The sequence below is a fragment of the Homo sapiens genome, chromosome 9 (assembly GCF_000001405.40).
Source record: "Homo sapiens chromosome 9, GRCh38.p14 Primary Assembly".
In the NCBI taxonomy this organism is placed as follows: domain Eukaryota; kingdom Metazoa; phylum Chordata; class Mammalia; order Primates; family Hominidae; genus Homo; species Homo sapiens.
In genome coordinates, this window is record NC_000009.12 from 461373 (window position 1) to 479981 (window position 18609).

The window sequence follows — 18609 nt, forward strand, 5'->3', positions numbered from 1 at the left end:
CTATGTTTCTTAACCAATTTTTTCATATTTTTTTATTTTTTAAATCTCATTGGTGATTTCCTTGGATCTGTCATACATTTACTTCTCCAATTATGTCTAGTCTATTATTTAACCTTTAACCTTTCCATTGAGTTTTTTGTCTTTTAGCAACTGCATTTTTTTTTTTTTTTTTTTTTTTTTTTTTGGTGAGACAAGGTCTGGTTCTGTCACCCAGGCTGGAGTGCAGTGGCATGATCTTGGCTCACTGCAACCTCCACCTCCCAGGCTCAAGCCATCTTCCCACCTCAGCTTCCCAAATAGCTGGGACTGCAGTCACCTGCCACCATACCCAGCTAATTTTTATATTTTTTGTAGAGATGGGGTTTTGCCATGTTGCCCAGTCTAGTCTTTAACTTGTGAGCTCAGGCAATCCACCCACCTTAGCTTCCCAAAGTGCTGGGATTACAGGCATGAGGCACCACACCCAGCCTAGTGACTGCATTTTTCTTTTTTCTAGAAGTTCTGTTTGGTCCTTTTCTGAACTTTTCCTGGTCTCTTTTTTCATTTTCCCTGTTTATTTGTTTTTATCATGGATTTTATACCTTTTATTTATTTTCTTTTTTTTTTTCTAGTTACATGATTACTTAGGATTTTATACATTTTATTACCTCTCTATATTAACTTTGGTTTTTTACATTGTTTTATTATCTCTAATTCTTATTGGACTAATTCTTTTGTTTGATGCATCTGTTAGTTTTCCCTCGTGGTGGTTGGTTTCTTCATATGGTTTGTAATTTTTTATTGTGAGCTCATCTTTGGCGAGAGTGGCTCATATGCCCTGATTGAGAATGTGTTCCTCCAGAACAACTTTATGTTGGTTTGGCTGAATCCTAGCAATTTCAGTAATCTTGGACTGGCTTTTAAGTTATTTTCTCACCTTGAAGCACATACAGTCAAGGAATGTACATTTGTAACTTATACTATGTGTGGTGCAAGCCTAGAATTTCCATTTCTCAATATGACTTTCTTTTCCATAAATGGCCCTAAGCTGATAGCAAGTTTTCATTCTGCCTCTCTGGACATCTTGCAGCATTTTTCTAAACCCTCTTTCATAGATGGGATAGCTTTTCAAGGCTCTGGACGATATGCAGGTGGCATATCCAGAATCTCCCTTTGCCCTGGCCAAGGCCACATCACTAATCTTGTGTGAGCTTTGAAGCCCCTTCCCCTCAGCCCATAGACCTATACACAGTCCTAAAATCTTAATGGGCAGTCCTACTGACAGCTGCCTTGTCACCAGCTCCTGTGATCATTCTAGCTTTGATTTTTCTCTTTCTTTCTGGCACCTGGTGTTCCCCTTTCTCTTTCAACAAGTTTTTGCTGTGCTTTCCTAGCACTTCCATATGTACGTAGCAGGAGGAGGCTGAATGCCATCTGCTCTGTCTGCCATGTTGCTGTAAATCACAGTGAGTTTTTTGTAAGTGTAACAGCTTCCATTCTGCAGTGTGTTTTGAGTCTGACTCTTAGATCCATCACTTCCTCACAGTGTTATCTTGGGCAAGCATCCTAACATTTCTGAGTTTCAGAAACAAAATAGAGATAAATGCTGACTTTTTAGGGTTGTTGGGAAAATTAAACAGATAATGCATGTAAAACTTCTTGAAACTTCTTCTGGCACATAGCAAGTCAGAGGTTCTCAATTCTGGCTAGGTTGGCTTCAGTATCCCCTGGGCAACTTTTTAACATTAGACATTTCTGGGCCAGAAGCAATGGCCCACACTTGTAGTCCCAGCTACCCAGGAGGCTGAGGTAGGAGGATCACTGGGGCCCAGGAGGTCGAAGTTTGCCATGAGCTGTGATCATGCCACTGCACTCCAGCCTGGGTGATAGAGTGAGCCCCGTCTCAAAAAATAATAAAATAAGGTAAAAAAAAAAAACAAACACAGAGATTTCTGGGTGCTACCCCTCAGCAGTTATGATTCATTAAGTCTGAGATAGATCCCAGAAATCTGCATTTTGAAAAGCTCCACAGGTGATCCCGATATGCCACCCAGTTTGAAAACGTTCTTAAAGTTATTCGAAAAATCGTAAGTAATTTCATTGTTCTCAGATTTCTAAGCACTTCAAAGTCATTTATTTCTCCCACACTGATATTTTCATCTCAGATGTGGTGAAGCTGTAGAGAAAAACAAGCGTCTCATCACGGCAGACCAGAGGGAATATCAGCAGGAACTCAAAAAGAACTATAACAAGCTAAAAGAGAACCTCAGGCCAATGATCGAGCGGAAAATTCCAGAACTGTACAAGCCAATATTCAGAGTTGAGAGTCAAAAGAGGTAAGAACAGGGCAGAGGAGGCCTCTTCCTGTGGGATAAAGAGCAGCGCATGGGGCCTAGCACCTTGGGGCATGCTCTGCTGCACTTGGGGAGCTGCAGAACCTCGAAAGGGTGGAAGAGGGTCCCACAGTCAGAGAGGCTACCAGAGTGTGATTCATTCTGCCTCTGTCCTCCCCATCCCTGCTCCTTGACCTCTCCCAGACACCTTGGTGTTGGTCTTGTGCCAGGGTATTCCCAGGGCTGAATGATGGCCTGTGTTGGTTTTTTTGTTTGTTTGGTTGGTTTGTATGTTTGTTTTGGCACAGTGTGAAGGGGTCGCAGACCTTTCACTTATTATTTGCTGAGTTGTCCATGACTGATGTCCATTTCTACTGGGTGATCCACCCCCAACCCTTTCTAAAAGGCTAACTGATCTTTTCTTGCTTCTGTACGCTCTCTTTCCCTCTCCTCCCTCTCTTTTCTTAATTTCAGGGACTCCTTCCACAGATCTAGTTTCAGGAAATGTGAAACCCAGTTGTCACAGGGCAGCTAAGAAAAGCCATCTTCATTCGTGGAGACTGTGGCCCTGCAACCCTGGAGAAGGACTTGCTGGTACTTAAAAAATGGGACATTTGCCACCCAGGACTGACTGTACACTCCCTGATCAGCCAGCACTCTGGAAGCTTTGGGATCCCAGGAACCATGGAATTATTCCCAAATGGACTCTGACCAGATTTTTGCCATACTGGGGGGTGGCGGGATGGAGGATGGGTACTCAGGCATGACTGCGTATTTATTAAAGTGTGTTTTTCCACAATGTACCAAACAAGGCATAAGCAGCTTCTCCTGCTGACTGGCCAATCACTGCCCATCTGAGAGATGATTTCCTCTGGCCCATATTTGAATTTATTGGAGTAACTCAAATTGCCTGAGGAAAAATGGAAAAATTATCCACCAGTCGATTCAAACTGAATTTCACTCTTTATAGGAAGGCAGGGCAAACTTGTAGGAGTACGAAACATTTTCAATAAATCTACAAAGGGAAGCCTTACTACAATTCCAAAAATCATCATGGTTGGAAATTTGGGAGGAGATTATTTGTGAACTTGTTACCCTTTTGGTAATGGTGGACTAATTGCTGTATAGTTATTTTTGTTTTATTATTACTGTTACATTAATTTAACATGCATTTATAGAAGAATACATTCAAAGCACTGATGTAGGAGATACACGGTACTTGGAGCAGTCAGCCAGAAATCACAGATACTGCTTTCACTTAAATGGAAACAATTCTCCGATAATGCTTTGCTTTTTTTCTTATGTCACTCTTGTGTACTATCTATTTTTCTCCTCTCTGGGACCAAGTTTCTTTTTATAAAGCAATAATATCTCTGTTTTCATTTCAGAACATTGTGCTGTCTGTCAGCATATGTATATCAGCTACAAAATATATTCAACTTTGACTTCTTTTGACAAAGGACTTTAGGAAAAAGAGGAACAAAGACATTATTTGAGAATTAAATTATATATTTTTAATATGACTGTGACCTTGACTGATAATAAAGATGTAATAAGAATTGCAAGCTAAATGTTTCCCTTTGCAACTCATGCTTTGTGTTTTGTTTTGATGACCTACTCGCTCGTAATGTTTTGTAAGGCACTTCAGAGAGAAGACAGATGCATCATCCTGGCCTCCATCAAATAACACTATCCAAGGTGGCACCTCTTCTGCAATGTTTAACCCTGCTAGTAATGAACGATGACTTAGTTCGGATATTTCAGAACTTTTTGTTTATACCATCAGGTATGCATGAATTTATAATCTGAAAGAGGACTTAAAATAATAATTAAAACTTACCAGCTTAAGTGCTAAACTTTTTATTTTTTAGGTATTTGGGGAAGAACTCTTTTTAAAGTATACACCTAACTGCTTTTTAAAATGAGTACACATGACATACTTTAATTCCATATGTATTCCCCTACTCTTTGGGAGACACTGTGTTGAGACCAAGGTCAAAAAACGTGGTCACCGCCCTCCAAATCGTCTCCGTTCCCTGAGGAAGATCATATACCTGTGTAGTAGCCACAGTACAAAACAGACTAGAACACAGCCCATAGCATGTAACCTTTTCCTGACTAACTCAAGGATAGGCCAACACCTATGGTATTAGATTCTGCCCTAAAACAATAAGAGTTAGATGCTAAGTTATATAGTCCTGGACCTTAACTCAAATAGCCAGAATAGCCCTAGTAACCTAGAATATTCCTGATTAAATATCCCCTGCTTTTAGATACCTGTTGTCCATTTGGGTTTGTTTTTTACAGTCTCTTTTGTACCACAGTGGATACATTTGCTTCATGAGTGCAGGAACCATGTTCACTGCTGCATTCTTACCCCTAGCCCTGCAACAAACACACAAAAGATACCCAATAAATATTTGTTGATTCACTAAATGAATGAATGATGAGTAGGCCTGCTTCTAGAAGTGCACTGCCAATAAGAATGTAATGCAAGCCACATATATAATTTTAAAAATTCTAGTAGCCATATTAAAAATAATAATAGGCCAAGTGCAGTGGCTCATACATGTAATACCAGCAGTTTGGAAGACCAAGGTGGGCAGATCACTTGAGCCCAGGAGTTTGAGACCAGCCTGGGCAACATGGCTAAACCCCATCTCTACCAAAAAAGATATAAAAAATTAACCAAGTGTGGTGGCATGTGCCTGTAGTCCCAGCTACTCGGGAGGCTAAGGTGGGAGGATCGCTTGAGCCCAGAAGGTTGAGGCTGCAGTGAGCCATGATCGTGTCACTGCACTCTAGCCTGGGTGACAGAGTGAGACCCTGTCTCAAAAAATAATCAGCATCATAAAAAGAAACCAGCAAAATTAACTTTACTAGTATATTTAACCCAATATATATAAAATATTATTTCAATATGCTTCCACTATAAAAAATTATTTTACAGTCTTTTATTTCCATATTAAGTCTTTAAAAATCTGATGTGTAGTTTGTACTTACAGCACGTTGCAGTTAGGACTGGCCACATTTTAAGTGCACAGTAGCCACAGGGGGCCACTGGCTACCATATTGGATAGTGCCATTCTAGAAGCTTTCAGCTTTTTCAACTGGATGCCTCTGATTTGTGGACTCAGAATACAGATAACCAAAGAAGTGGGACTAGTGTCTGAAGTAAGAATGACAGGGTATGATTGAGAGCCCCATGAGCTTACCTAGGAGAGAAACTTGTGGGGTTGCAGAATAAGGATTTGTCAATATTGGCTCTAGCTGTTCACACTATTTCTGGGCCAACTCCCAGATCATTTCTCAACTCCAGATAGTTAAGTGGGGAGCATGGCTGCACTTTTTAAAGTGATGGCACAAAAAAAGATATTGAACGTTGGTCCTCTGATTATATATTCTAAATATGCAGTTAGAAAAGAGGCCTTTTAAGAATCCCTAAGAGTAAAGCAAATTAGTATCTTTGTTTCCTGAAAATTAGAGAAACTTGATATGCCATGATAGCCCTCTTCATTTTATTTGGAAAACTCTTCTATGAAAGCTTATTAGAGAAAATTTTCTGATTAGCTTCATGCCTCCCCTCCTTCAGCAAGGTCAAGGGTGCAGTTGTCACTATCACATAAGAATCTCATAAAAATTAAACATGAATATACTGCACAGATCTGATTGGGTTTGTCATGCCACACATTGTTTTAAATTCCATAATTCTATTCTATAAAGAGTGGTTTCTATGACAATAGATCGTTTTAAAAACAAACAAACAAACAAAATTTAGAGTTGTCATTGGTAATTGTGGTTGCAAGTATGCTTTCAAAGACCAGAAGCTTTTGTTTTGCTTTGAATGTAATTTTTTTCTTTTTTCTTTTTGATACGGAGTCTCACTCTGTTGCCCAGGCTGGAGTGCAGTGGCACCATCTCAGCTCACTGCAACCTCCACCTCCGTGGTTCAAGCAATTCTCCTGCCTCAGCCTCCTGAGTAGCTGGGATTACAGGCGTCCACCACCACGCCTGACTAATTTTTGTATTTTTAGTAGAGATGGGGTTTTACCATGTTGGCCAGGCTGGTCTCAAATTCCTGACCTCAGGTGATCCACCTGCCTCTGCCTCCCAAAGTGCTGGGATTACAGGCGTGAGCCAAGCTTCAATATTCTTAAACCCAACCTCACACAGCCTGATTTAAAAACTAAATTTCTGCTAGGCACGGTGGCTCATGCCTGTAATCCCAGCACTTTGGGAGGCGGAGGCGGGCGGATCACGAGCTCAGGAGATCAAGACCATCCTGGCTAACACGGTGAAACCCCGTCTCTACTAAAAATACAAAAATAAAAAAATTAGCCGGGCGTGGTGGCGGGCGCCTGTAGTCCCAGCTACTCGGGAGGCTGAGGCAGGAGAATGGCGCGAACCCGGGAGACGGAGGTTGCAGTGAACGCAGATCGCGCCACTACACTCCAGCCTGGGCAAAGAGCAAGACTCCGTCTCAAAAAAATAAATAAATAAATAAATAAATAAATAAAAAACTAAATTTCTGGCCAGGCACAGTGGCTCGTGCCTGTAATCCCAACCCTTTGGGAGGCCAAGGCTGGCAGTTCGCTTGAGCCCAGGAGGTCGAGACTAGTCTGACAAACATGTCAAAACCCCGTTTCTACAAAAAATACAAAAATTACCTAGGTATGGTGGTGCCTGCCTGTAGTCTCAGCTACTTGGGGGGCTGAGGCATGAATCCAGGAGTTCAAGGCTACAGTGAGCTATGATTGTGTCACTGCACTCCAGCCTGGGCAACAGAGTGAGACCCTGTCTCAAAAACCAAAACAAACAAAAAAGAAAGCAAAAACTAAATTTCTGATAATCACTAAGTTTTTAATTATGAAATTACTAGAGGAAATGCAGCATCACCTTGGTTGAAAACCATTTGGAGAGCCGTGCACATTCCTGATCCCTAAGTCCTTGATGTTGCACCCATCTTGAGGAGCAGTGCTCTCTCTGGACCGATGTTACTGAATCCAACCCAGTTCCTACTTGATGTTTGTGGCATTAGCTTGGCAGCTAGTTTTTACGTTTACTATTTTTACTACATATTAGGAGATGGCAAATTACTGATAGCCAGGATAAGGGAATGATTTTCAAGGCATTATAGCTCTAAAAAACAATTGAGAAATCAGCTCCCTCATCACTTCCTTAATGCAATGAGAGAACACGACACGGATGAACAAACTGTTCTGTTATCCAACAAGATTATCAAGAGTTATTAGTGAGATAATAAAAAAGTATATGTGACTGCCAAAAGTCTCCAGACTAAGGACCAGAAGACCTGGTTTCTTGTTCTTTCACTTTCTAGTCCTGCAATTCTGGCGAAGATACTATACTGCTCTGAGCTTCAGGGTTTTTTTCACTGTGAAAGAGGGTGCAAGTTCCTCCACATTCTTCCAATCTACTGAGGAAACCCAATGAGATAATGCATGGGAACATGTTTTGGAAACTCAAAAGTGCTGCCCAAAATGTAAGGTAACACTGTTTACAATTGACACTTCCAGAAAGTTTAGCCAGCACCCCCACACATGGCATCCGCTTCTGACAACGTTAATCAAAATCAGGCCAAAGGTGCAGGCAGGACAGAGGCCTGACTTACCAGAAAATAAACGTCTGGTCTATTCCACTTGTAGTGCCAGTTTACATTGTCTGGCGAGAGCCAACTACCAGGGCCTCCGGGTAGAAGAAAGAAAGGGTATCAGTGGAACTGAGAGTGTATACAGTGGCGCCTGAAAGCGGGTAGAAGAAAGAAAGGGTATCAGTGGAACTGAGAGTGTATACAGTGGCGCCTGAAAGCGGGTAGAAGAAAGAAAGGGTATCAGTGGAACTGAGAGTGTATACAGTGGCGCCTGAAAGCGGGTAGAAGAAAGAAAGGGTATCAGTGGAACTGAGAGTGTATACAGTGGCGCCTGAAAACCCAACCTCGCCAGGCTTCCCTGTCTCCTGTGTGCAGCATGTGTGCAGTGCATTCCCCTGGAAGGTAAATTCGCGGAGTCCCGCAGCCCACCTGTGTCCACCTAGCCTGTAAGTGCCCCCTGAGGGTATCAAAGCACGCGGACTTCCGCCTGAAGCAAAGCCACCGGGCGGCAAGTTTCCCCGTTAACAACAACGAAGACAGAGAGGACTTGGCAGCTGTGACGGATCTGCAATAATTAAACTGACGTTGCTGTTTAGAAGCCTGGGGGTCGCCTGCAGCCTCCCAGGCTCCACTCCATCGGCTCCAGCGCTGCAGGCGGGCCGTGCATGTCTCTAGATGCATATTAAGCAAAAAGTTTCTAAAGAGGATCGCGTGGAACCCAGCAATTGATTAAGAATCTCAATGGCCCTAATCCCCTGAGAATTGAACTAAGGGCTCCCCAGCAAACACAGCGATTTACATGGGGCCTAGAGAGAGCGAGCACTGCCGGGGGCGGCGGCGAAGGGCAGCAGTGGTGGGACGGGCGGGGTAGGGGGAGTTACTGAGCATGCGCCCGGGTAGGGGCGTGGGGGAGTTACTGAGCATGCGCCCAGGTAGGGGCGTGGGGGAGTTACTGAGCATGCGCCCGGGTAGGGGCGTGGGGGAGTTACTGAGCATGCGCCCGAGGGTGTTTCGGGGCGTCCGAAGCGGGCGTGCTCCAGCCTGCTCAGCAGCGAGTGGTTGGAAATTAGCAAAGTGAGAGGGTGCGTGGCCTGAGGGACTCGGGGAGGCTGAGGGCTTTTTTTCTCAACACTGTGAAGCTCAGGGAAAGGAGTAGAACTGGGAACCAAGTAAAGTAAAATCGTGGCAAGTGGGCATAGACCTGAAATCTCCTTCGTGAGGGAACCCAGAACGTGCAGCTCAATGTATGTTTGGAACGAACAGGTGAAAGGAAGCAGGAGGAGGAGGGAGTTCTAGCGAAGACTTCGGAGGGAAGCAACCCATCCCCTGCCACAAGAAAGCACCGCCACTCCAGTGGGAACGGACACGCGTGCACACAGCCACGAGTGAGGTTTGAAAGAGGCCCCACCCTCCATTACACCTGTGCTCCACCGTGGCCCCCAGCCAAGTTTAATCTCCCATTCAGCACTTACTTCTGGAAGCTTCTTTCCCTTTCCTTCCCACCACTCATTGGCCTTTCACCCCCTAGTTTTTTGTCTGTGTGTGGGACTGTCTTCCCCCACTCCCCTTGACTGAAGTTCCTTGAGAGCAGCAGCCCTCTTTTTATCAGGGAAGAGATTTGAAGCTCAGGACATTCTTATCCAAGTAGGTGCTAGCCACCTGGGTAGTCAAGACAGGGCCCTGCACAGTTAATGTGAATCTTGTCATAATGCCAGGGTTATTGTTTTGCAAGGAGCCGGTCATAGAACACTAGATTGCATTGTCACTGGGAAATAAGCTCATTCTATTAGCTTGTTTCTCAGCTAGCTTATGTAGAAATTTGCCACAGTTGTTACTGCTGGGCACCTGCCCTGGATCTGATCATCAATTATATCATCTCTTCCATCTGATGGACTGCACCTCACCCCTTGCTTTTTCAGAGCTGGCGAAGCTGGGCCAAGGAAAGCGATAGTGCCAGCTGAGTGGAATGTGCAGGAAGGGACCGAGGAGGGGCACTATGTACTGGAGAAAAGAGATGGGGTCTCCAGGACAGGGGTAAGGACACTAGACTGAGGGCACAAAGGAAGGAAACCACAAGGAAGTAGAGTAGGGAAGTGGGGAGCATGCTGAGGAGAGAGGTCAAGAGATGGTGACCGCTCTCTGCATGCCCCAAGGAGATGGTGATGACACTCCCAAGTCCATGTGGGACTCCCTCCTTATGCGGGCCTCAGTCTGTCATCTTCCTTGGAGCAGGACCAAAGTAAATAAGATAAAGTCACAATTTCTCATCCTTCTTCACTCAACTTTTCTTTGAGGTGAGTTGGCATTTTTGTAAAAGAATGCATTCTCTGCCAGATGCGGTGGCTCACCCCTGCAATCCCAGGGTTCTGGGAGGCCAAAGTGGGAGGCTTGATTGAGGCCAGGGGTTCGAAACCTAGGCAACATAGCAAGACCTCCATCTCTGTAAAAGAAATTAGCCAGGCATGGTGGTGCATACTTGTAGTCCTAGCTACTTCGGAGGCTGAGGCGAGAGAATCGTTTGCACTTAGGCATTGGAGATTACAGTGAGTTAAGCGTTCTCCTGTACTGCCATGGTAGGTGGGTGTTGCTAGCCACATGAGGATATGTGAGCCGGTCACCAGGGACTGCGGCTGACTCCCCGAGCACAAGGACAGTAAGAATAAACCTCCGATTATTCCCCTGCCCCCAACCCCAACTTCAATTAAAGAGATATACCCTTATGTGACTGACAAAAAAGAGCCCTGCTCTCCCAGAGTCACATCCCCATACGCCAAAACACTCTTACATATAATTATTGGTGCTTCATAAATGGCTGATAAAAAAACTTTTCTATCAGGGAATACACCCTACCTTATTCACAGCCTCTTATAGAGAGCTGGCCTGCCCACAGTCTCTGTAAGGGGCAGTTGTCTCTTCTGAGTGACCAGTTTCCCTGACCTCCCCTCAAGCCATGACTGACCAAGGAAGTCAATGTCACCACTGAGAAGCAAGGCGTAGCCTCAGACTCTGAGTTTCTAACTCTTTCCACTTTCCTAAGATGGGGTTATGCCTCATTTCTGAGAGATTTCCAACCCTCTGCCATATATTCCTCTTTTTGTGAGGTCACTTGGGGAGGTGTCTGCTTCTTAGCACCAGAAGAGCTCTCTCAGGACCCAGTTGCTGACCCAGTTGCTGCAAATGCTGAAAGTAGGAAATGGAGGTCAAGTGTAGGCCATAAAGATTTTCCCACTCCTCCTCTTGAATCAGGCATGGCCTTGTGAATTACTTTGGCCCATAGAATGCGGCAAAGTGATACTGTACAAGTTCTAGCCTTGGTCTTAAGCCTGCCAGCTTTTGCTTTCACTCCCTTGGAGCCCTGAGCTAGTATAGAAAGAGATCCAGCTGCAAGGACTGGTTACACAATTTGCAGGGATTAGTGTAAAAGGAAATGCAGGTTTCCTTGTTTTAAAATTATTCCGAATTTTAAGGCGGTGACAACAGAGCCCTATACCAAGCAGAGGCTTGATCCGAGCTGGTGCAGGCATGACAGCCAGGCTTCCTGATACATGAGTGATGCTATCTTGGATTTCTGGCCCCAATTCAGCCTCCTAATGGTCAGCATGAGAGCATGAACTACCCTAGGTGAGACCAGTAGAAGAACCCAGCTCAGATTACAAAACTATGAGCAAACAAACGGTTGTTATTCAAGTAAAGCTCACTAAAGCTCTTCATGACAAACGGGTATAGTCATGGGGGCCGCTAAGGCCTGGGTTGAGATTTTATATAGCAATAGGTAACTGAAGCATGAAGAATAAGAGTTTGCAGTGAGTGGTCACCCACCATATTCCAGGCCCTGTGTTGGTGCATTGCATGTGCCAGCTCACCTGATCCTCACAACACCTTTCATAATTCCTTTCTACAGGAGAGAATACAGCAGTTCCAAGGACAAGGGATTCGTACCACTGCTCCTCACTCAGTAAATAGCAGAGACAGAATTTGAACGTGAGTCTGACTGATTCCAAAACCCATGTAATATCCCTGCATTGAAACAGAGGAAAATCCAAGGAAAGTGCACACAGCTTGGAGACTATTGGATAGGGGTCTGATTCAGTCTTTCCTAAATTTCCTCATAAATTTGCAGTTGAAGTATCAGGCAGAGAAATGATAACCAGGTGAAAGACCCCTAATGGGACATCATGACATCACAGCTCTGTGATCATCAACCATAATCCCTAGAGGGTCACCTAGAGTTATCCTACAATGAGGCTTACTTGGGTTTTCTGATAGGTATAATACTGAGAAAATTTGCTATGGTTAGCTATGGGTATTCACCACTTATTTTAGTGTATATCATCCCCCAACAAACCACAGGCACCTGTGATCATCTGGGTATGTGTTCAGGAACTATCTTGCACCCAGAAAGAACAAGAATTTTTTTTTTTTTTTTGAGACAGAGTCTCTCTCTGTCACCAGGGTGGAATGCAGTGGCACAATCTCAGCTCACTGCAACCTCTGCCTCCATGGTTCAAGTGATTCTCCTGCCTCAGCCTCCTGAGTAGCTGGGACTGCAGGCATGTGCCACCACACCTAGCTAATTTTTGTATTTTTAGTAGAGACAGGGTTTCACCATGTTGGCCAGGATGGTCTCGATCTCTTGACCTTGTGATCTGCCCACCTCGGCCTCCCAAAGTTCTGGGATTATAGGTGTGAGCCAGTGTGCCAGCCAAGAATTAATTTCAACATTAGACTCAGCCAGAGTTAATGAAGAAGCTTTCCCCACATGATGGCTCCTCACAAGAAATACTATCTATTTATAATATTCATTGGCTTTACTTGTCTTTACCAAGCCTTCCTGAGTGTCATCAGTGGGTGAGTGAGTGTATGGATAGGTACCTGCCTATCTGTCTGCCCATGGTGATGAACACATCACTGTAGGTCAGCAATGACATTGAGTCTAAATGCTGTTGGCCATAAGGAAAATAGTGACATTCCCTGGCTCAGAGGAAATGCTGGTAGGAAAGCCATATGGACTAGTATTTATAAGTACAAGCTCAGGGGTCAAAGATGCTGAAGTTCAATGCCTTGTCCTGTCTCTTACTAATTAGTGATATTGGACATATTGATTAATTGCATAAGTATGTTTCTCACTTATCTATAAAATGAGATGTATGAGGGCTAAATGAAATGATGCATGTGAAAAACTGAACAAGGTGCCAGGCCTAGGACAAGGGCTCAATAAATGTCAGCGATTATTTTATTTGATGAACAAAAGAAGGCAAATGTTCTTTCTTTGATGCCCCCTATCTTTTCCCTGTGTCGTTTCTCTAAAAAAGTATATGTGTGTAATTTCTATGCCTTCCCTCCACTCTCCCATTATCTACCACTTCATCATCCTCTCACTACCCATGGCCACTTTCCCTCATTATCTTTTCTATATTTCTTCCCTCCTCCCCTGAAATGGGGTTGAGCAGGGGGAGATCAGAGGATGAGAAAAGGCAGGGAGACATTGGTGGCAGGGTGACAATGGAGCACCACAAGCTGTCTAGGCCATCTAGACTTTCCCTGAGGACACTTCAGTATCTCTGAGAATACCATTTTCTCAGGACTCCTCACACTGGGAGAAACCTTAGCAATCATCTGATGGTGTACTTGTTACAGTAGATAGGCAGACATGTGCAGTGCAGGAGAGGGCCCCCCACCCTGACCAGGAATGTCAGGTGACCATCAGGTGATGGTCACATGGTTGTTACACCGTCTCTCTCAAATAATAACTGGTTGCAGCCAGCACCAGGGAAAGGCAGTCTCCAAATAGATAGGAAAAACCTGAAAGTGACAATCAGCAGCTTCACAATAAGATCTCAGGAATTGGGCAGGTGGGCTCAAGCATGTGCACTAAGAGGCAAAGTGGCGGAGTTTAATTGGTAAATGACCTTCCTGTAGGAATGCTACGCTGGTAAGGGAAGAAAGCCTCAAGAAAGCATCTGTACCATTCCAGCAAATACACTGTGCATGCTCCCCTCCCAAATGCTAGCAGGCCACTGCACATATGGACAGCCCACCCCAAGGGAAGAATTGGGAGAAGTAACCCAAGACCCCGAAAGTATGCCAACCTGTAAGACCGCAAGTCAAAGGTCAAACTGTGCACTTGATCTCACAAGGTGCCCACTCGGCCCTCTTCCAAATATACTCTACTTCCTTTCATTCCTGCTCTGAAGCTTTTTAATAAATTTTCACTCCTGCTTGAGGACTAAGCTCTGATCTTTTCTTATCTTCCAAATTCCTATCTAGGGGGTCTGGGGAGTTATGCCCTACAAACCAAAAATTCTCATCAGATGGGTTTTATTTAACCCTATATATTGTGACTTTTTAGTCTGACTCTGGCATAATATTACATGACAAAATCAAAATATTTTATCCCATAACATGTCTCTTTGGCATATTTTGAAATGGCCCTGCAAAGCCATCCTTTGTAGGGGAAAATTTGCATCTGTAAAGAATCTCTGTTAACATAGCTAGATATTTTTCTTCCAGGCGCTCCCATCTGAAGAGATTAAGAGTCTAGCACCTTTTTAAAATTATTTATTTATTTATTTATTTTTGAAACAGAGTCTCACTCTGTTGCCCAGGCTGGAGTGTAGCGTCGCCATCTCAGCTCACTGCAACCTCTGCCTCCTGGGTTCAAGCCATTCTCCTACCTCAGCCTCCCGAGTAGCTGGGATTACAGGTGCCTGCCACCACACCCGGCTAATTTTTGTATTTTTAACAGAGACAAGTTTTCGCCACATTGACCAAGCTAGTCTTGAACTCCTGGCCTCACTGTGATCCACCTGCTTCAGCACTCCAGCCTGGGCAACAAGAGCAAAACTCCATCTCAAAAAAAAAAAAAAAAGTTAGAAAACTAAACTACAAGGTCCTTAAATGCCTGCTCCACAGTATTAGCCAAACATGAACAAGATCCCAGGTGTTAGGCCGGGCGTGGTGGCTCACGCCTGTAATCCCAGCACTTTGGGAGGCCGAGGCGGGTGGATCACCTGAGGTCAGCAGTTCAAGACCAGCCTGGTCAACATAGTGAAACCCTGTCTCTACTAAAAATACAAACATTAGCCGAGCATGGTGGGGTATGCCTGTAATCCCAGCTACTCGCGAGGCTGAGGCAAGAGAATCGCTTGAACCCGGGAGGCAGAGGTTGCAGTGGGCTGAGATCACGCCACTGCACTCCAGCCTGGGCAATGGAACAAAAGACTCCATCTCAAAAACAAAAAAAAAATCCCAGGTGTTCTGGATTCCCATCCAAAAGAAAAGGGGAAACCAAACCCCCTGCTTCCATCTCACCCAGGATCTCCTGTCTTCCCAAAGCACTTTACCGTCTTTCCTGCCCAGCTGTTGAAATATCAAACTGTACCAAGATTTTGGCCATGATGGACTCTGTTCTCTGCACACTAAGAGATTTATCTTCCTGATCATCAGTAGAAATATTAATAAATAATATTGGTTGCCATTTATTGAGCAGTGTGTTAAACATCCATATTATTTAATGGATGTTTTTCTAGCTGTGTTTTAAAGTTTTAAAGTTGCAGCATTTGAATGAATGAATGACTTCTGAGCCAAAGTGAGAAAAAGCAAACAAGACACAAATGAGTTTTCTAAACTATGTGTCTCCCCGAAATTAGCTCTGCTACTTTGCACAAGTCTCCTTTCCTAAGATCCCGCTTCTCATCTGTTCAATGGGGATATGAACATCTACAAGTTTATGGTAAAGTTTAAAAGCACATTTGTCTGATACTAAGAGCCAATAAACAATCGTTACTTTCATTACCCCAGTTGGCAATTTGAGCAGGGCATGACAGGGAGTTTGGGTGACAGGCGATAAAGTAACGGACATTATGGAAAGTCTGAAAGAATGTAATAAGGATAATATATTTTAGATGTATTTTTCTCTTTTATATTTTGTGAATGACTTTTCCCCTGGTTAGCCTAAGGTAATTCTTATGACTCAGGGAGGTTTGAGATTGTTACAGCAGGAATGCAAACAGAAAAAAAAAAAAAAAAGATCTAGCTTTTGATTTCCAAATTTGAGTTCCTAGAATAACTGTCTTTAAAATTCAGAGGTTGGAGATAAAGAAAAGGATTTTCTAGATTCCTATCACTTCCATTAAAATACCAAGGGTCAGAACAATGAACCTGAATTCTAAAGCTATTGGTAGAGAGAAATGACCTTTGATGTAAGAGGTGTCCCTACTGCACAGAAAAGATGGGGTGTTTTTCCTTTCCAAACCAAGGGAATGTCAGGGGAAGAAAAGATAGAGATTAAAGGGGAAAAGTGAGTTTTATGTATCTTGGCTTCTCCATTCAGGGCTGATATCACAAGTAGTAGATAAATTGAAAGAAAGGAATCCCAAAAGAAGAAAAAGACTGTGTTCTGCTCCTCACTTAAAACTCAGCAAAAGGGACCCCCACCAAGTGGCCCATGCCAATATGTAACACAGAAAGGAAAACCAACAGCATGGGCCTCTTGGCTTGGAGGAAGCCAAAGTGCACATTTCTTCAGTCATACTACATCTGGGTTCATCTAGCCACCTCTGCCATGCTGCCCAAGTTCAACCCCAATGAGATCAGTCATATACCTGCCAGGTGCCCTGGTGGAAAACTGGGTACCATGTCTGCCCTAGCCCTTAAGATCAACCCTCTGGACCTGTCTCCAAAATAAGTTGGTGATGACATTCCCAAGGCCACAGGTCACCAGAAGAGTCAAAGGATTACAATGAAACTGACCATTCAGAACAGACAGGCTCAGACTGAGGTGGTACTTTCTGCCTCTGCCGTGAGCATCAAAGCCCTCAAGGAACCAGAGACAGAAAGAAGCAAAACAATCAAGCACAGTGGAAATGCCATTTTTCATGACACTGTCAAGATTGCATGACAGATGCAGCACCAATCCTTAGTCACAGAACTCTCTGGGACCCGTAAAGAGATCTTGGAGACTGCCCAGTCTGTGAGCTCCAATGTTGATGGGCGCCAGCCTCCTGACATCATAGATGACATCAAATCAACAGTGGTGCAAGTAAATATCCAGCTAGCTATGAACTACGAAGGAAAAAATTTCAATAAAGGATCATTTGACAACTAAAAATAAAAACACAGCATGGTTATGACATAGGGTCTGCATGAGTGCCTTTGTGCCTCCTTGAAAAAGCCAGTTTCCCCATGCACAGATGTCAGTAGTACAAGTCAACCAGGTATCCAGAGACATTGCTAAAAGATGTCAATACCAAATCTAATCACAGCATAAGGACCAGTGTATACAAATCTAAAGCCCACTTTCTCCTGCTCACTCCTAAAGCTCACTTTCTCACAACACTGCCACCCCAATATACCAAGAAACCATCTAGAAAGGAGGGCAGACAATAGCCACTTACCTTTAAAAACAAAACCAAACTCTTTACACCAAAACTTCTTCCATATCCAAAGAGTCTAAAATACAGTTAGTGATGAATGTGGATGTGGAGCCAATGAGTAAGATTTGATCAGTTACAGAAAACAAGTGAAGCCACATTTACTTTGCACAACCAAATGTAGTTTGCTAAGTTTTTGACCCCATTATATGAAGAAGACAAATCATCCATAACTCTACCACGCTAAACATCCATTACTTTTTTTTTTTTTTTTTTGAGAGTTTCGCTTTGTGGTCCAGCCTGGGGCGCAGTGGTGCAATCTTGGCTCACTGCAACCTTCGCCTCCTGGGTTTCAGCAATTCTCATGTTCAGCCTCCTGAGTAGCTGGGATTACAGCCACCCATAGATTTTTAAAATACTTCTCTTTCACTTGTCTTGCATAGGCATGATTATTGCAAATAACTGCAATGCATATCAGTCACAATTTTATATCGTGCTCTTTGTAAAATTCATCAAAATTCCTTTTCCATGCTGCTGTGTGTTCTTCCTGGTTACCAATGTTAACAGACGCATAAGCTATTAGTCAAAACTCTTGTCATTGCAAGTATCATAAAGCCAATTCCAACTCAACTGAAGAAAATGGGTATTTAATGGAAGAACACTGGAGTTGCTCATTGACCTACAAGAACCACGCAGCCCTGAGGGCCTAAATGCAGGGGACGGGGGCTTGAAGTCACCAGAGTTCTTCACTGCTCATTCTTCCTACAGACATCTCCACATAAATGTATTAGGCATTTGGCCATGTTAGGTCATTTTCATTAGCCACATTTTCCAAATGGGGACGGAGGGACTAAGGGAGTTAGATGTGACTCACTGCAGGTGATTCAGCTGCTAAATGGCATTGATTTGAAAACCAGCATCTTGATTCAGATTGGTGGATCCATACAAATTGCAAGGGACAAAACTTTTCAAAAATATGTAAGAATAGTCACATAGGATAAGAATATATTTGATTTTTGTGAGGACTACAGCTGAAGGAGAAGAGAAACATGCAAATGGGGTTCCATTTCCCACACCAGGGCAGCTTCTGTCATCTCAGAATGCCCACCTGGCATCTTCCTGACCCTTGGCTCACCCACAAGGAAGTTCATGGCAATATTGTTTTCAGAAGCCAATATTCTCCTGTCTCTACTTGCAAGAAAATAACTGAGCCCCCCCAGTAAGTATAATTGGTGCGAACAGTGATTTATTATATGCCCAGTTCTCCAGATGGCCTTTCATATGGAAATGATTTTTCCTGAAAACAGAAAAATATGGG

General features: G+C 43.7%; 2 protein-coding genes, 1 long non-coding RNA gene and 1 pseudogene across 37 annotated transcripts in view, besides 6 other annotated features; 3 read left to right on the forward strand and 1 right to left on the reverse strand.

Moving 5' to 3' along the window:
• The window catches only part of DOCK8 (dedicator of cytokinesis 8), a 253999-nt gene extending 250116 nt beyond the window's left edge, over nucleotides 1-3883 (forward strand). For 9 of the 17 annotated variants that reach the window (XM_017015173.2, XM_011518045.4, NM_203447.4 and 6 more), the window contains 2 exons: nucleotides 2145-2315; nucleotides 2787-3883. In XM_017015173.2, coding sequence (XP_016870662.1) covers nucleotides 2145-2315; nucleotides 2787-2847 — 232 coding nt within the window. In that variant the 3' untranslated portion in view covers nucleotides 2848-3883. The remainder of the gene's footprint in view (nucleotides 1-2144; nucleotides 2316-2786) is intronic. The other 8 variants (XM_047423927.1, XM_047423930.1, XM_047423932.1 and 5 more) reach the window with 1 other exon arrangement.
• On the reverse strand, nucleotides 3402-8757 carry DOCK8-AS2 (DOCK8 antisense RNA 2). Its single transcript, XR_002956871.2, has 2 exons — nucleotides 7942-8757; nucleotides 3402-4697 (listed from the first exon to the last, which is right to left on the reverse strand). It is a non-coding gene; the product is annotated as a DOCK8 antisense RNA 2 (long non-coding RNA).
• Nucleotides 7585-7634: an enhancer, noted in NCBI's record as "active region_28117". NCBI's record gives its function as "activates an Ori minimal core promoter by ATAC-STARR-seq in GM12878 lymphoblastoid cells {active_cell/tissue: GM12878}" and the evidence as "EXISTENCE:reporter gene assay evidence [ECO:0000049][PMID:35858748]".
• Nucleotides 7875-7974: an enhancer, noted in NCBI's record as "active region_28118". NCBI's record gives its function as "activates an Ori minimal core promoter by ATAC-STARR-seq in GM12878 lymphoblastoid cells {active_cell/tissue: GM12878}" and the evidence as "EXISTENCE:reporter gene assay evidence [ECO:0000049][PMID:35858748]".
• Nucleotides 8507-9032: an enhancer, noted in NCBI's record as "H3K27ac-H3K4me1 hESC enhancer chr9:469879-470404 (GRCh37/hg19 assembly coordinates)". NCBI's record gives its function as "activates a minimal SCP1, AML or CMV promoter by ChIP-STARR-seq in primed H9 embryonic stem cells {active_cell/tissue: H9 hESC(primed)}" and the evidence as "EXISTENCE:reporter gene assay evidence [ECO:0000049][PMID:30033119]".
• Nucleotides 8535-8684: an enhancer, noted in NCBI's record as "active region_28119". NCBI's record gives its function as "activates an Ori minimal core promoter by ATAC-STARR-seq in GM12878 lymphoblastoid cells {active_cell/tissue: GM12878}" and the evidence as "EXISTENCE:reporter gene assay evidence [ECO:0000049][PMID:35858748]".
• Nucleotides 8795-8844: a silencer, noted in NCBI's record as "silent region_19724". NCBI's record gives its function as "represses an Ori minimal core promoter by ATAC-STARR-seq in GM12878 lymphoblastoid cells {active_cell/tissue: GM12878}" and the evidence as "EXISTENCE:reporter gene assay evidence [ECO:0000049][PMID:35858748]".
• The window catches only part of KANK1 (KN motif and ankyrin repeat domains 1), a 275809-nt gene continuing 266122 nt past the window's right edge, over nucleotides 8923-18609 (forward strand). For 8 of the 19 annotated variants that reach the window (XM_047423041.1, XM_047423067.1, XM_047423060.1 and 5 more), the window contains exons 1-2: nucleotides 8923-10214; nucleotides 11822-11901. The gene's annotated coding sequence lies outside the window, so the exon portion shown is untranslated. The remainder of the gene's footprint in view (nucleotides 10215-11821; nucleotides 11902-18609) is intronic. The other 11 variants (NM_001256876.3, XM_047423044.1, XM_047423042.1 and 8 more) reach the window with 10 other exon arrangements.
• RPL12P25 (ribosomal protein L12 pseudogene 25) lies at nucleotides 16408-17024 on the forward strand (annotated as a pseudogene).
• Nucleotides 16515-17014: an enhancer, noted in NCBI's record as "NANOG-H3K4me1 hESC enhancer chr9:477887-478386 (GRCh37/hg19 assembly coordinates)". NCBI's record gives its function as "activates a minimal SCP1, AML or CMV promoter by ChIP-STARR-seq in naive H9 embryonic stem cells {active_cell/tissue: H9 hESC(naive)}" and the evidence as "EXISTENCE:reporter gene assay evidence [ECO:0000049][PMID:30033119]".